This window comes from Homo sapiens, chromosome 2, assembly GCF_000001405.40.
Source record: "Homo sapiens chromosome 2, GRCh38.p14 Primary Assembly".
Taxonomy (NCBI): Eukaryota; Metazoa; Chordata; class Mammalia; order Primates; family Hominidae; genus Homo; species Homo sapiens.
In genome coordinates, this window is record NC_000002.12 from 67,318,389 (window position 1) to 67,335,149 (window position 16,761).

Consider the following 16,761-nt stretch of genomic DNA (forward strand, 5'->3'; position numbering starts at 1 on the left):
TACTGAGTAGGTAATGCATTTGGTATTAAGGATCCATCATATGCGTATGTCTTCTGAGCGTAATGGTTCCTTTGGAGCTATTATAGGTATGCCGTGAATAGATATTAGAAATAATACACAAAGAGTGACTGAAGGAGATCCCATATTAACTACTGTCAGACTTTAAACATTATTCTAAAATAAGTTTTTAATTCCTAGGGTTTAATACCTCTATACTTTGTAAACTGAGCACTTTTCAAAGAGAGCTCCAAATTCCTACAGAGCTGTCTTTAAGTGAGCTTTGATCTTTGCAGAGCACCTATCTTGTGTTTCTATAATTGCTGTGGTTTAACAAGGCTCCCTAGCATGTGAAGGGGGGCAAATCCTTTTATTAAGGCTATAAACCTAACTGACCATAGTGACGGAATGTGCAGCTTGGTGGTAGCCCTTAGCTCCCCAGGAAAGAAAAAAAAAATTGAAACCAGGGAGTCTTCATGTTAAAACAAAATGAAATATTTATTAAACATGTTTCTGGTGTCCCAGGTGGTAAGAGGCTGCCCCGTGGTCCGCTGAAAGGTTTGATCTTTGTTAAGTATTGTGAATGCTGATTTCAATAATGGGGTGAAAGCTGAGGAAGTTATGGCTGAAATTTTGGCTAAAGATGACAGCTCTAGGTTTCAAGTTGCACAAAGCAGTCTGAGGGATTAAACCAACAAAGCCTGCTCAAAAGTATTGAGTTTCCAAAAGTGTAATCTTCCTATCAGTGATTCACACTCCTAGGATGGGGAGGATTCCTCATTTTTTACTTTGACTTTGCCATATTAATCTTACTTAACAAATACATGTGGTGATTTATATCATGTTTAATTAACTGATTGAGGGCGCCAGTGGTAAAAATGGCATCGCATTAAGCTCTGTCCGTATGGCAAATTCGAATCACATCCTTAGCCTTGCAAGAACAAAATATCCCGAGAGTCACTGATGACAGGATGTAGGAATTGAAATCAGGTCCCTCCTGTTGTTTGAGAATCTAGGGAGGGTGCCTGCCATATGCCCATCACTTCCAGCGGGGGAAATGACAGGATAAAAGAAAGGAAGGCTCTAGTTCTTCCAATATGTTCAAATCTCAGATGAAAATGATTGTGCAGCAGTGCTGTACAGAGGCCAAGATTCACATGAAAGTACATCTCAAACTTTGCAGAGAGCTTAATGAGAGGGTTTTGTGGTGTTTTGATATGTGGGGTTTTCTTTTGTTTTGTTTTCTGAAATGGCTGCTCAGGGTTTTTGAGAACTGAGAGGCGAAAAAGCTGTCGTTTAGAGTTAAATATAATAAGCAGGATTTTTTTAATAAAAGAGGGAATTATTATTTAATAAAATATAAGTGCACTATGATTCCATAGAAATCAAATTAGGTTTGAATACTAAAACCACACGTTGGGATACTGGTTTTAAAATTAACATCTTTGGAAATTGGAGTTGTCTAATTTTTCCCCTCAAAAATCTATGGTGATTATTTATGACATCTAAAGAAAAAGTATAAATTGATTACTGATAATAATTTTGAAATTTTAAAATGCATTTTAAATTGCATGACAACATAATAAAAGTATGAAAAGAGGGTAAAAAATCCATTTCAATCTTCAATTTGATGATTAACACTTTTGTGCATCCTCTTTTAGTGTTTTGTTTGCATGTGTTAAAATTATTATAATCATGCTACACCTTCATCTTGTATCCTTTTTTAACTTAGTATTTTATCCCATATTTCTCATACTGCTTTATACCAATTTTATTGACTGCATAATATTTCATCAAATGAATGTTGTCATCTTTTCCTAACCAAGCTTCCACTGCTAGATATTAAAATGCCTTCCAATGTTTGCTATTATAAACAATGTTATAAAGAAAATTTTTATATACATGGCTTTTTCCACATTTTGAATTATTTCCCTGGAGAGATTTCCTATACCTGTTCAGGTTGCCATACTGTTTAGGTTTCTTAAAAGATTGTATAGAAGTAAAGACATTTTTCTTCCAAGGAAAAGTAGAAAGTAAAACATTCTATAATGGTGTCATTATACAGGAAAAAAAAAAAATCTTACTTGAAATTAACATGCAATTTAAGTGATGACTTCACTCCTATAGTAAGTATTGGCGACATGAGAAAAACATTTAATTTTTACTCTAAATTAATTTGTTCTCTAAATGTTGTTCTCTAAATTTAATTTGTTCTCTAAATGTTGTGTTCTTCTTTAAAATAAGCATATGGTGACAATGAAATAAATTCAGAATTTTCTATTTTGTTTTACTCCTCACTTATTGTTTTGATTTAGAAAAAAAGTCCTTTCAAGTATAATTTAAGTTTTGAAATTTTTAACAGTTTCCTGGAGGATATTACAAGTGACTATTAAGCCAGCATACAGGTCACTTTTTAAAATGATCATTATTTTGGTTAAATCTGAAGTATGGTCCTCATAATTAATAATCCTAGATGTTTTCATGGCTTCAATTCAGAATATGATGAATTGGGTAAGTTAGGCAATATATTTTAACTAAAACCACTTTGGATTTTGACAAGGAATTCAAACTTTTCAACTGTGCTGTGTTGCTGCATAAGCAGCCTGTAAAAAGAATAATCACCTCAATTTTTTCAACTTCCTGGAATCATTCAAAACAGAGTAGTTAAGGATTGCTTCATTTGGAAGTAATAAGTTCCAAAACGGTCTGCCGCAGTATAGTTTAATTACTGGTCTCAATTCTCAACCTTCTAGATTTTCTTAACTATCCTTTTTTTGTTTTCAAACAAAAAATGTACAAACTTAAAATTCTATTGGCAGCCTAGTTTATCAAAAAAAGTTAGCTGCTTTATTTAACTTAGTCTATGATTTTATGAAATGCCATCAAATTCAAGTCAAGGGTATATTAGGGATCAAATAATTTTGGAAGCCAAAAGTGCATTTCCCTAGATGGTTTCTTCCAGCCGATGTTATTATTAGTCTGAGATCATGTAACAGCTTTTGTTTTCCAAATCTGTTCCTTTCAGTGAAGTCTATTTCTTTGCATAGTTTAAAAACAAAGGATAAACATTCCTTATGGGGCACTGGAAGGAGAAGCAATTCATGTGAATTTGATAAAACATAATGTACTGGACTGACAGTAAAAAGGCTTTGCTTGTTTGATTGTTGACTGGTTTTGTCTTTAAATAATGGTCTTCTTTTGGCATTTAATGTATATTTGGTCACAATAAACATAATTTATGAATATTTTAACACATGCATACTCAGTGGGGTGGATTATCATACTGATATAAATAGAATTAATGAGCAGTCAACCCGCCACATGCCACGACATATGACGGGGCAGCCAGTGCACAGAAATAATCCTCATAGTTTCATAATAAAGCTTTTCTCTTAGTTCAACTTTTTAAAACTACTTACAGTCTTATGTCCCCTTTCTGTTGGAGTATGGTTCACCAACCTGTGAAACAAGATTAAGATTTTACTACAAGAATCTATTTCTTTGGCATTCAAAAAAACAATTTTCTTGCTTTCTCTAAAACAAAATAAATATATTTGAACAAACTAACTCTACTAGGCCAAATTTCAGGGAATAGGTTATAGACAGACAAGACATATGTCTACTAGAAAAAAATTGTTATATTCTTTTCTTTTCTTTTTATGACAATAACATGATTATGCTCAATTGCTGCTACCAGATCTTTACAAGAACAAAAACTTTCTAAATAGTTCTACATTCTAAAACAGATCCGATGGGCATATCGCCTGGATAAAATTATTCTGGAAAAAAAAATCTTCTTAGCCAGTTATCTGCTCTCCTTGAACACAAAGCAACAATCTGTTAAGCGTGCCTAATAAGATTTTTTTTAAAGGAAAGAACTCAGTAGTATAAAGCCACCTCTTCAAATGGTAGGTATTGGGGGGGAGACATGGGCATGCAAAATCTTCAATTTAGCCATGCTTTATTCAACAAATAATTATTTTTGTGAAGAGACAAATTGAAATTTAAGATTAACCTTCATTTGCCTTATTTCCACAGTTTGATTACAGGCAAAAGTGGGAAAAAATAAAATTAGCATGTGCACTGCATTGTCCAGATGATCTGGCAGGAGGAGAGCCTTGGCAGAGATATACTATGACTTTTTACAAATGCAGATGGCAGTGTTGCAGCCTTTATTCCTCTTATCTTTCATTTTCAAAGGGAACACTCGAAGCTTTTTGCCACCACCCTCCTCTACTCCTATCCTCACATGTAAAAACACTGTATCCCCAAATCAAAGCTCTTTCCTAAAACAGGCAAGCCCCAGGATGCATCAGGGAAGGGACAGACTGTGACACCATGCTCCTGGTCATCTGTGAGAGAAGTGCACTGTGCTATGTGGGCCAGGGCCTGGTGAACTTGCCCAGAGTGACTCCCTTGGGGAATCCAGCCCTTTCACCAGCAAAGAAAATGGGCACCACCTAGTGCTTTTTCAACGCAAAGGCTGTTTGTGCTCATGTGGACAAGAGTGGGCATGCGTTGGCTGACCTTTACAAAGGAAAAAAAAAAAAGGAGTCAGGTGGCTTTAACCCCTATGCCAACTGAAAGAAGAAGCAAGTGACAATCTTAAGACAAAGGAATTCAGTGCTTCCAAATTATAGATTTCTTTGGTTTTTTTTTTTTTATAATTATTGGTCTGTTCATGAGAAATAACATCTTTACTTACCAAGACACTAATTTCCTCTGTATCACCTTTTTGCCTCCTCATGTCCTCTGAGGTTAATTTGTAAGAATTTCTAAGAATTTTCATTTGGTCCAAAGTGACATAGCAGAACCAGCGCTGGCCCACCCCCACCCCCAAAATCTATTCTAACAAGCAGTCTCTCTGGAGTTCTCCTAACACAACAAATAGCTTTTATGAAAAATGATGTGTAGCACAAAATCTTTTGCAGTGCAATAAGATCAAGTTAACCACTCATGCCTCTAGGAAAAAGCCTAGGAAGTTTTATCTGATTGGCAAAATGGACCCAGATATGAGTTCAAGGATTGAGTACAGTTTGATGAAATTTCATAGCAATGAAGTCTGATTATCTGAATGATTGCTTAAGCCTTTTAAAACATAACTCGAGGAAGCACTAGATTTTTCATTGGGAAAACAGATGGTCTTGTAGGGAATCGTAGAACCACCATCTCATGCTGTTTACTTTTTCTGTAATACTTTGCCTAGAATTACTCTCACCACTATTGCTTTTTAAAAATAATAATGATTTCTTCATTGCTAAAAGGTAGATCTTTCTGCAATAAAATTAGAAATCTTAGTGGAGGGCAAGGTGAAGGGCAGAAATGGGAAAAATGAGTAACCTGCTATACCTAACTGGATTAACAAGGACCTGTAACATATCCAGGAACTAACTGGCTGGCTCTGAACTCATTAGGGATCTGCTTATCTGTTATGCTGTACAACAGAATCCAGACAAAAAACAGACTGTGAAGAAACGGATTAAAAATGATTGTAACTTCTCTAAGAGTTCAGTATCTGTGCTAAGCAACTTTGTAGAAGGACTGAAGAAAACAAAGCCCAAGATTCTGAACTTCACTCCACTGCCTATCCCCAAGTTCTGCCGTTATAAGATCGCAATAACGCTACTTAGATATAGAACTTTGCAACTGTTTTATGAACTAACCTAAAAAGTCAAACGCACTCTCATCTCTTGGTCATTTTATTGCTGTAATTTATGATATTAAATAAGTGATTTGTTTAAAATAAATTTTAAAATTTATACCAAGGAGGAAAAATAATCTTAAAATGGGTTTGTTCTATGAGGAGCAAGAAAAAAAAAATGTGTAGTGAACTGATCTCTTTGAGATTTCACTGGCACAAAATATATCCCTTTAAGCTTAACACTAAATAGGTGATCTTGTCTTGACAGATTTAAGATGAACATGAATTGATTAGCTGAAGCCATCAGGTGTGGCTGAGCCTGTCTTTTTCCAAATATGTACCTACAGGATAATGGAAGGAGGTAGCTGTTGTCATCACCTTTTTAAGTGAAAGCAGTGTTATGTTTTGTATTCAAGTCGAATTCCCCAACTCTTCATATCACCACCATTCTGGTCAGCCTGTTAAGGGAAGAAAAACAACAACAACATTTTCTTTTTTTCTTCCCTGCCCACCCAGCCCCCCTTTTCCACTGCCTGCCTTGCCCTGAATGCTATAGTTCACAGCGAAACCCTCTGGTAATGACAGCCCTGAAGTGATAATGTACTTTCCTGCCTTCCTGTTAACGGTAGCATAATCCCGCCATGTGTGCCAGCCCCGTGGCAGAAGGATGCGTTCATATTTTCTGGAGGTAAAAGGGACCGGTTCAATTTACAGGCTTGACTACCTCAGCAGTTTCACTAAGTTCTGGTACATAAATGGATGTTTTATTAAAGAAGAAAAGGAAGGGGGAAGGGAAGGAGGAGGAAGACGAAGAAGAAGAAAAGAAGAGAAGGAAAGGAGGTGGGAAGGAGAATTCGTCTTTTTCTGCTCAATATTATGTCAGTGAAACCAAATAATGTGTCTCGGTTCCTCCCCCTGAGCATTCCACCCGGGTAAAAAAGGAACTAAGGTAAGTCATATCAAGTAAATGCACTGGACTTGGAGATGTGGGCTCCCTGTGTGATAAGCAATGGGCAGCATGTGATAACACATTTATCCTCTCCCTCCTCTTAGCTCACCTCTGCTGAGAGAAGCTGTGCATGGCGAGTGGCCCCCACACACCTGGCTGGATGACATCTGAGGGCTCGGAGGTCCCTGCTGCTCAGTGTGCCAGGATGGTCCCACCGTCCTCACATTCACATTTTTTATGGATGATGCGTCATTCTGCTAAGGCAACAAAAGTGAAAACAATCAATAGTTCTACCCAAATACCTGTTATTTTAAGAATGGGGCCAGAGTGATTTCTTGGCTATGAGCAGCTCAGGAGACACTATTTTTCGTTGTTTAAATACAATTGATTTTCCTTGCTTCAGAACCCAGATCACTCACGGAGCTCCTGGTGTGTCGAGCTTGGATGAATTTGTAATATGACACAGTGATACCTGTTTGTTTAAGGACACCTTGTGTGTAATGTCAGTGTTGCATTACTCTGTGGTTCCAAAACTTCAAGTCCACACTGGAGAAGGTGGGGGCAGCCTGTGGACAGAGGCAGGAAAGAAGGGACATTGTTTTGAGTGCCTGTTAGCTTGTAGGCACAGTTCCATGCTCTTTTCTGTAAAACAGGCCAATGATATTGGAAGCCAAGTTTGTCTGGCTATGGAGCCCCTGTTTCTCCACTCTACCAATAATCAAAACTCACAGTGAGAGGTTAAACCAATACATGCACACATTACCAAAACAAGGTTTCACAAACAATATTTACCTTTACACAGGCAATTTACTCTTATTTTACCAGTCCTACTCCATAATAATTCAATTCTTTAAAATTATGGTTGCAACCCCACTAAATTGGCCTCATAATCTACCATTGTAACATGGCCCACTGTTTGATACACACTGGAGTACACCTTGGTACCCTTCACATTTTTAAATGATGCTATATTGGACTTGGTATCCATGTGATGATCAAGATTGTATTTGAAGATGTTGCATAGAAAGTCCCATCCTATGATTCAGTTTTTTCATCTAAGAATTAGAAATTATAACATTTATTCCCCAAAATTCTCCAGTTGAATTCACTGGAGGTATTCATTGCCTCTCAGAGAGTCTGTTACTTAAAATAAAGACAATTAAAATTAAGATAGCAAGTATTTTAGCAACAAAAGCCACAAAAAAGAATAATAATTATAATTGCTATTGTTAGTAATAATTGTTGAACTCACAACCTGCCGGCCACTGCTCTATGAGCTTTCAATATAACTCATTCAGTTCTCACTATCACTTTATGAAGTAGGTAAATATTACTTTCACTTTACAGCCAGAATTCCTTTATCTTCTTTCTCATAAATTTCTCATTCTAAACTGTTAATATACATCTCAGAAAATGAATGAGATTGTGACTATGACTCAAGAAATACGTATTTCTATGCTTGGTTTAAATAAAATACAAAAGCCTGTATCATCTAATTGGCTTGATAAATCTCACTAGCTTTTTAATAATCATGAAATTTAAATTTTTTTGTAGAAAACTTTCAGAATACTTAATGAAAAATCAGTATGTATTCACCTTCAAAAAACACAAATTTCCAGGCATAATAATAATATCTGCAAGTCCAAATGTAATCACGGTGCCAGGGCTGGTTGATTCAGCAGCTTATCACTGTCACTGGGGACTCAGATTCTCTCCACCTTTCCACTCTCCCATCCCTCATCAGCTTTGTCCTATGAGGGCTGCACAGATCCAGGTGTCACATCCAGCATCATAGTGACAAGAACAAAGGTCTCTTTCTCAGGAGTCTACTAAGTGTCCCTTAAATCCTGATTAGCAAATTTCCTTTGCTAAAAATGAGTTATATGCCAATTCCTAAACTAGTCACTGTTAGGGTGTAGAATCACTGTGATTGGATTAGAAAAGCTCTGCCTCCTGGAACTAGGAATGATGTTGTTTGCCCTGAAGCACATGGATCTGTGGTCAGGAAGAGGGGTCTTGCGGGAAATATATATACTGAGTAAGCAGTGTCTGATACAAAGACGAAAAATATTTCTTTTGACAGGAAGATTTGGTAAAATATAAAGTAGTAGAATTATTTCCCATTATTTAATCTGTTTAATGTTTCATAAAAATTAGCAAACGTAATGAGGAAACGTATCTGTAAGAATCCACTATGCATTTGCTGTTTGCTCTGAAATCAACAGGACCCAGTGCTTTCATTACTAGAAAGAAGAAAATTAGGTAGGTTAATAAAACAAACATCTGGAAAGTATCAACACTCATAAAAATAAATGGAATCATCCTGTGTATACACTAAAGCCAGGTTGGCATTTGTCAACAACTACAGAGAAAACACTACAGAATTTACTACTTCCAACTTCCTGGGTGGGTTTGTTCTCATTCATTTAACATATTTTCCTAAGTGAAAATTTAGTTTTAGGTTTTGAAATACAATCATATAAGAATATGTAGACTAATAGTGTTTATTAATTTTTAATAATGCCTACAGTTTCCCATATTTGGTTGCATTTTTCCTGCTATCCTATTGCTTCTGAGCCACCTGTTCCCCTCTCAAAAACATGCAAGCTGGGATTTTTTTCTTTTCTTTTAACTAGATATCTTGCCAAAATTTCAGACTCATAGTAAAGAGTTTTTATTTTTCACCAACCTAATTATTAAAAAAGGAGTATTTAGAATAGCTCTAAGAATTCTCATACAGCCTTCATCCTCATTCCCCAAATGTTAACATTTTACTACATTTGCTGTATCTATCTCTTTGTGTGTATATGCACAGACATACACAGAATGTCTATGCCTTATATACACATGTATATCTCTGTGTATATATGTATGTATATATGCACATATTTTTAATAGATTCTGAGTTTTCTAATCCTTTGAGAATAAGTTACAGTCATGAAACCCCTTTATTTTTAAATACTTGTGTATCTTTCTAATAAAGAAGAAATTCCCCAATGAAACAACAAAAGATTACCAAAATCAGAAAACTAGCATTGCTATAATACTCTTATCTAATTTATAGACTTTATTCAGATTTCAATACTATTTTTATGGTCAAAAAAAATCAAATGTCATGGGTCATGCCCTGAATTCAGCTGTCATTTCTCTTTAGTCTTCTTTATTCTGACAGTCCTTTAGTGTTTTCCTGGCAGAATGCTGTTAATATCAGTCTTCAGTAAAACATATTAAGAGAGGAAACATCATGCCAAAGCCAGTGGATTTGTATGGATGGTGGCTTGAGTGGGATTCGTCCTGCCTTTGCAGCCTTCCTCCTGCAGGGATAATAGGTGTGAGTATGTTTCACTATTCTCTTAGACATCCTGACCTGTACCACAAATGTGAAGGGCCAACTGGAGAACTAGGTGATCCAACAGTTTGTTATTAATCATCTCATCTCTTGCCAATGAATAGCAACAAGAACATCCCAAAACATCTGAAATATTTCTAAATATTCTAAACATTTGTAAAAATGTGGGACATTATAGAAAAAAACTTACAAAAACATTTGTTTCAATCACTGCATGCTTAGATGCAATCTTTAAAAGTACTTCAAGTAAATAATTAGAATGGGGATGTTTAGAATTGGTTAAAGGTTCATTATTTCTGAACCAATGTGCAGAATTTGGCTTATGAGTACAAGAATAAAGACATTTGGATCAATTCTCTTATCTTTTTATTAATATTTAAATTAGCCTACAAAAAATCCACATATATAAAAGTCCTCTAAAGCCTGAGAAGCTCATTTGCTTTTACGTAGGACATATTGATGGTTTTAATTTTTTAATCTCTCAGACTGCATCTGTATAGCAACAAGCGGATACTTTAGCAAGGAATAAATTGTTCCAAAAAGGTATGGGCAAGTGTGTCTTACAACTTTTTTTTTTTTTCTGAAAGATCTCAGTAAAATATTTTCTGATATGTTTTCAAACCAATGTATTCTATCACATGAAAGAGAAGTTACCTGACAACGTGGTTATTTGCAGTTATGTTATAACCAAATTTGTAACTGACTCTCCCTCCTCCAGTCTTATGAAAAAGAAGGAAGAAATTATAGCCTGGAAGAGAATATTCCCAAATGGGGCGAGCTAGGGCATCTAAATCTATAGCTGGAGCTACAAAACACTTCGCTTCATTCAAGAAACGTTTTCTTGAGTTGATTTTTTATGTACCTATCTTAAAAATAAGGTAGTGCTCCTGGAGTAAGATTAATAGCAGCAGACCCTTACTTAACCTATTTTCAGTAGTGAAAACAGATTATAAACCCCTTTTTTTCCACTACAGAGTTATAAATACAACAGCAGTGCAGAAATCATTTGTTCATTGAGTTCAACTCAAGATTATACTCAAGTCTGATTGCAAAAGCCCATTCATATGGAAGAAGAGACAAAAGGCTAACAACTCTCTGGGAAGAGCATCAAAGGCTCAATGTTTACAAGAAGAAATTGAGGGGAAGATTGGAGAATAATTTTCTCTGGGGGAATGATGGCAGCTTAGGGGTCTTTTGTAGAGAAAGTTCTTTGCTAGGATTAAAGGCAGGATTATTGGTGGATAATTGAAAAATGAAATGGAGAACCTCTTAAAATGGCAATGTATTTGGAATATCCAGGGAGTTCTTGAAATGTGAATTCTAAGGAAATGGGTAGTACTTAAGAAGAAAAGATTAACTCAAACTCACTATTTCAAGTGATAAAACTGCAAGTGAATCACAAAGGGATGGAGCTGCCAATGCCTGCAGAGGAAAACCAAAAGACCAATAACACAGTGACTTGGGTCAGCTTTTAAGTCAAGGCACCAATTCAAGAAAATCCTAATGAGGAAGAAATCAATCTGCTCTGCAGATCATGTTATGGCTATATAATGGCTAAAGAACAACAGTAACTAGAACCTGAATTAGTGTTATATTGCTCATTTTATCTAATTTCACAAAGTTATTGTTACCTTAAATCATACATTTATCAGAACTGTTTTATGTAAAATAATATTTGAGGTTGACTCCTCATAGTAAAATTAAATGCTTCTAAATTTAATGTATGTGAAACAGGATGTGCTATGGGCTGAATGTTTGGGTCTCTCTCAAATTCATATGTTAAAATCCTAACCTCCAAATCAATGCTAGTAAGAGGCAGGGCCCTAGGGAGGTAGTTAGGTCACAAGGTGCAGCCCTTATGAATGGGATTAATGCCTCTATAAGAAGAGAAACAAGAGAGATTTTTTCTTTCTCTGCCATGTAAGGATACAATGAGAAGTCAGCCATCTGTAAACCAGGAAGGGGACCCTCACCAAGAACATCACCATGCTGGCACCCTGAACTCAAACTTCCAGCCTCCAGAACTGTGAGAAATAAATGTAATAACTATTTGTTGTTTAATACATCCAATCTATAGTAGTCTGTTACAGTAGCCAAAACTGATTAAGACAAAAAGTTTCATTTGAAAGCAATAACTAACGTATAATTCTGAACTTGACATTCACTATTGCTAAGGTTACATTGGTTTCCCGACTGCTAAAAAAAAATAAAAATCAGATAGCTCATCTGAGAAGACACACAGACGGAAATCAAGCACATGAAAAATATGCTTAGCATCACTGGTCATTAGAAAAATGTAAATTAAAACTACAATGAGTTGCCACTACACAAATATCAGAATGACCAAAATAAACACATTTTTTAAAATTTAAATGACAATATTAAGTGTTGGAAAAGATACAGAGCAACTGCAACTCTCAGATATTGCTGATATGAATCGAAAATGGTACAGACACTTTGGAAATCAGTTTGACAAGTTCTTATAAAATTAAATATATACTGGGCATGGTGGAGTGTGCCCGTAGTCCCAGATCTTGGGAGGCTAAGGCAGGAGGATAGCTGGATCCCAAGAGTTCAAGGCTGCAGTGAGCTATGATCATGCTACTGCAGTCTAGCCTAAGTGACAGAGTAAGATGCTGTCTCAAAAAAAAAAAAAAAAGAAAAAATTAAACATATACTTACCATGCAGCTCAGCAATTCCATTCCTAAGTATTTACCCAAGTGAAATTTAAAAACCACCCAAATATTCCTTAGCTGAGGAACAGATAAACTAGTACGTTCATAAAATGGAATACTGTTTAATATATTCATAAAATGGAATACTGTTCAGCAATATAAAAGAATGAACTATTGATACATGCAACCACATGGGATGAATTTCAAATGCATTACATGGAATGAAAAAAGCTAGACTCAAACAGATGCATATGAAAATATTCTATTTAGATGACATTCTGGAAAATGCGAAACTATAGTTTTGGAAAGATCTATGGTTGCCAGGGATTAAGAGTGTAGAAAGGGGCCAAGTTCAGTGGTTCACACCTCTAATCCCAGCACTTTGGGAAGCTGAGGCCAGAGGATCACTTGGGCCCAGGAGTTCAAGACCAGCTTGGGCAACATGGCAAGACGCCCCATCTCTACAAAAAATTAATTTAAAAAAATAGCATGGTGACATGCACCTGTAGTCCCAGCTGTCAGGCCTCTGAGCCCAAGCTAAGCCATCATATCCCCTGTGACCTGCACGCACACATCCAGATGGCCGGTTCCTGCCTTAATTGATGACATTCCACCACAAAAGAAATGAAAATGGCCTGTTCCTGCCTTAACTGATGACATTGTCTTGTGACATTCCTTCTCCTGGCTCATCCTGGCTCAAAAGCTCCCCCACTGAGTACCTTGTGACCCCCACTCCTGCCTGCCAGAGAACAACCCCCCTTTTTCCTTTACCTACCCAAATCCTATAAAACGGCCCCACCCCTATCTCCCTTCACTGACTCTTTTTGGACTCAGCCCACCTGCACCCAGGTGATTAAAAGCTTTATTGCTCACACAAAGCCTGTTTGGTGGTCTCTTCGCACAGAAGTGCATGAAATTTGGTGCTGTGACTGGGATCGGGGGACCTCCCTTGGGAGATCAATCCTCTGTCCTCCTGCTCTTTGCTCCATGAGAAAGGTCCACCTACGACCTCAGGTCCTCAGACCGACCAGCCCAAGAAACATCTCATCAATTTCAAATCCGGTAAGCAGCCTCTTTTTACTCTCTTCTCCAACCTCCCTCACTATCCCTCAACCTCTTTCTCCTTTCAATCTTGGTGCCACACTTCAATCTCCCCCTTCTCCTAACTTCAATTCCTTTCATTTTCTGGTAGAGACAAAGGAGACACGTTTTATCTGTGGACCCAAAACTCCGGCGCCAGTCACGGACTAGGGAAGGCAGCCTTCCCTTTGTGTTTAATCATTTCAGGGACACCTCTCTGATTATTCACCCAGGTTTCACAGGTGTCAGACCACGCAGGGATGCCTGCCTTAGTCCTTCACCCTTAGTGGCAAGTGCCGCTTTTCTAGAGGAGGGGCAAATATCCCAATCCATTCTCTCCATATCTCTACCCCTTCTCTGCTTTTCTGGAGGAGGGGCAAGAACCCCTCAACCCCTTCTCCTTCACCCTTAGTGGCAAGTCCAGCTTTTCTAGCGGGCAAGAACCCCCAATCCCTTATTTCCGCACCCCGACCTCTTATCTCTGCACCCCAATCCCTTATTTCCATACCTGACCTCTTATCTCTGCACCCCAATCCCTTATTTCCATGCCCCAACCTCTTATCTCTGCACCCCAATCCCTTATTTCCACACCCCGACCTATCTCTGCACCCCAATCCCTTATTTCCACGCCCTGACCTCTTATCTCTGTGCCCCAACCCCTTATTTCCACACCCCGACCCCTTTCCCACTTTTCTGGAATTTAAGAACCCCCGAACCCCTTCCTTCTATGTCTCTACTCTCTTTTCTCTAGGCTTGCTTCCTTCACTATAGGCAACCTTCCACCCTCCATTCCTCCTCCTCCTCCCTTAGCCTGTGTTCTCAAGAACTTAAAACCTCTTCAACTCACACCTGACCTAAAACCTAAATGCCTTATTTTCTTCTACAATGCTGCTTGACCCTATACAAACTCGACAGGAGTTCCAAATAGCCAGAAAACAGCACTTCCATTTTTTCCATCCTACAAGATCTAAATAAATCTTGTCGTAAAATAGGCAAATGGTCTGAGGTGCCTGACGTCCAGGCACTCTTTTACACATCAGTCCCTCTGTAGTCTCTGTTCTCAATGCAACTCCTCCCAAATCTTCCTTCTTTCCCTCCTGCCTGTCCCCTCAGTCCCAACCCCAAGCATCGCTGAGTCTTTCTAATCTTCTTTTTCTACAGACCCATCTGACCTCTCCCCTCCTCGCCAGGCCAAGCTAGGTCCCAATTCTTCCTCAGCCTCTGCTCCTCCACCCTATAATCCTTTTATCACCTCCCCTCCTCACACCTGGTCCTGCTTACAGTTTCGTGCTGTGACTAGCCCTCCCCCACCTGCCCAGCAATTTACTCTTAAAAAGGTGGCTGGAGCCAAAGGCATAGTCAAGGTTAATACTCCTTTTTCTTTATCCCAAATCAGATAGCGTTTAGGCTTTTTCATCAAATATAAAAATCCAGCCCAGTTCATGGCTCATTCGGCAGCAACCCTGAGATGCTTTACAGCCCTAGACCCTAAAAAGTCAAAAGGCCGTCTTATTCTCAATATACATTTTATTACCCAATATGCTCCTGACATTAAATAAAACTCCAAAAATTAAATTCTGGCCCTCAAACCCCACAACAGGACTTAATTAACCTCGCCTTCAAGGTGTACAATAATAGAGGCAGCCAAGTAGCAACATATTTCTGAGTTGCAATTCCTTGCCTCCACTGTGAGACAAACCCCAGCCACATCTCCAGCACACAAGAACTTCCAAACGCCTAAACCGCAGCGGCCAGGCGTTCCTCCAGAACCACCTTCCCCAGGAGCTTGCTACAAGTGCCAGAAATCTGGCCACCAGGCCAAGGAATGCCCACAGCCCAGGATTCCTCCTAAGCCGTGTCCCATCTGTGCAGGACCCCACTGGAAATCGGACTGTTCAACTCACCTGGCAGCCACTCCCAGAGCCCCTGGAACTCTGGCCCAAGGCTCTCTGACTGACTCCTTCCCAGATCTTCTCGGCTTAGCGGCTGAAGACCGACGCTGCCGGATCGTCTCGGAAGCCCCGTAGACCATCACGGACGCCGAGCTTTAAGTAACTCTCACAGTGGACGGTAAGTCCGTCCCCTTCTTAATCAATACGGAGGCTACCCACTCCACATTACCCTCTTTTCAAGGGCCTGTTTCCCTTGCCTCCATAACTGTTGTAGGTATTGACAGCCAGGCTTCTAAACCTCTTAAAACTCCCCAACTCTGGTGCCAACTTAGACAACACTCTTTTATGCACTCCTTTTAGTTATCCCCACCTGCCCAGTTTCCTTATTAGGCCGAGACACTTTAACTAAATTATCTGCTTCCCTGACTATTCCTGGACTACAGCTACATCTCATTGCCTCCCTTCTTCCCAATCCAAAGCCTCCTTCATGTCCTCCTCTTGTATTCCCCAACCTTAACCCACAAGTATAAGATACCTCTACTCCCTCCTTGGCGACCGATCATGCACCCCTTACCATCTCATTAAAACCTAATCAGCCTTATCCCGCTCAATGCCAATATCCCATCCCACAGCATGCTTTGAAAGGATTAAAGCCTGTTATCACTGGCTTGCTACAGCATGGCCTTTTAAAGCCCATAAACTCTCCTTACAATTCCCCCATTTTACCTGTCCTAAAACCAGACAAGCCTTACAAGTTAGTTCAGGATCTGCGCCTTATCAACCAAATTGTTTTGCCTATCCACCCCATGGTGCCAAACCCGTATACTCTCCTATCCTCAATACCTCCCTCCACAATCTGTTATTCTGTTCTGGATCTCAAACATGCTTGCTTTACTATTGCTTTGCACCCTTCATCTCACCCTTTCTTCGCTTTCACTTGGACTGACCCTGACACCCATCAGGCTCAGCAAATTACCTGGGCTGTACTGCCGTAAAGCTTCACAGACAGCCCCCATTACTTCAGTCAAGCCCAAATTTCTTCCTCATCTGTTATCTATCTCAGCATAATTCTCATAAAAACACACGTGCTCTCCCTGCCAATTGTGTCCAATTAATCTGTCAAACCCCAACCCCTTCTACAAAACAACAACTCCTTTCCTTCCTGGGCATAGTTAGA

General features: G+C 38.6%; 5 annotated features.

The window, feature by feature from the left end:
- Window positions 11,355-11,936: an enhancer, noted in NCBI's record as "OCT4-NANOG hESC enhancer chr2:67556875-67557456 (GRCh37/hg19 assembly coordinates)". NCBI's record gives its function as "activates a minimal SCP1, AML or CMV promoter by ChIP-STARR-seq in primed H9 embryonic stem cells {active_cell/tissue: H9 hESC(primed)}" and the evidence as "EXISTENCE:reporter gene assay evidence [ECO:0000049][PMID:30033119]".
- Window positions 12,886-13,399: an enhancer, noted in NCBI's record as "OCT4-NANOG hESC enhancer chr2:67558406-67558919 (GRCh37/hg19 assembly coordinates)". NCBI's record gives its function as "activates a minimal SCP1, AML or CMV promoter by ChIP-STARR-seq in primed H9 embryonic stem cells {active_cell/tissue: H9 hESC(primed)}" and the evidence as "EXISTENCE:reporter gene assay evidence [ECO:0000049][PMID:30033119]".
- Window positions 14,426-14,937: an enhancer, noted in NCBI's record as "H3K27ac hESC enhancer chr2:67559946-67560457 (GRCh37/hg19 assembly coordinates)". NCBI's record gives its function as "activates a minimal SCP1, AML or CMV promoter by ChIP-STARR-seq in naive and primed H9 embryonic stem cells {active_cell/tissue: H9 hESC(naive and primed)}" and the evidence as "EXISTENCE:reporter gene assay evidence [ECO:0000049][PMID:30033119]".
- Window positions 14,938-15,450: an enhancer, noted in NCBI's record as "H3K27ac-H3K4me1 hESC enhancer chr2:67560458-67560970 (GRCh37/hg19 assembly coordinates)". NCBI's record gives its function as "activates a minimal SCP1, AML or CMV promoter by ChIP-STARR-seq in naive and primed H9 embryonic stem cells {active_cell/tissue: H9 hESC(naive and primed)}" and the evidence as "EXISTENCE:reporter gene assay evidence [ECO:0000049][PMID:30033119]".
- Window positions 15,964-16,476: an enhancer, noted in NCBI's record as "H3K27ac-H3K4me1 hESC enhancer chr2:67561484-67561996 (GRCh37/hg19 assembly coordinates)". NCBI's record gives its function as "activates a minimal SCP1, AML or CMV promoter by ChIP-STARR-seq in primed H9 embryonic stem cells {active_cell/tissue: H9 hESC(primed)}" and the evidence as "EXISTENCE:reporter gene assay evidence [ECO:0000049][PMID:30033119]".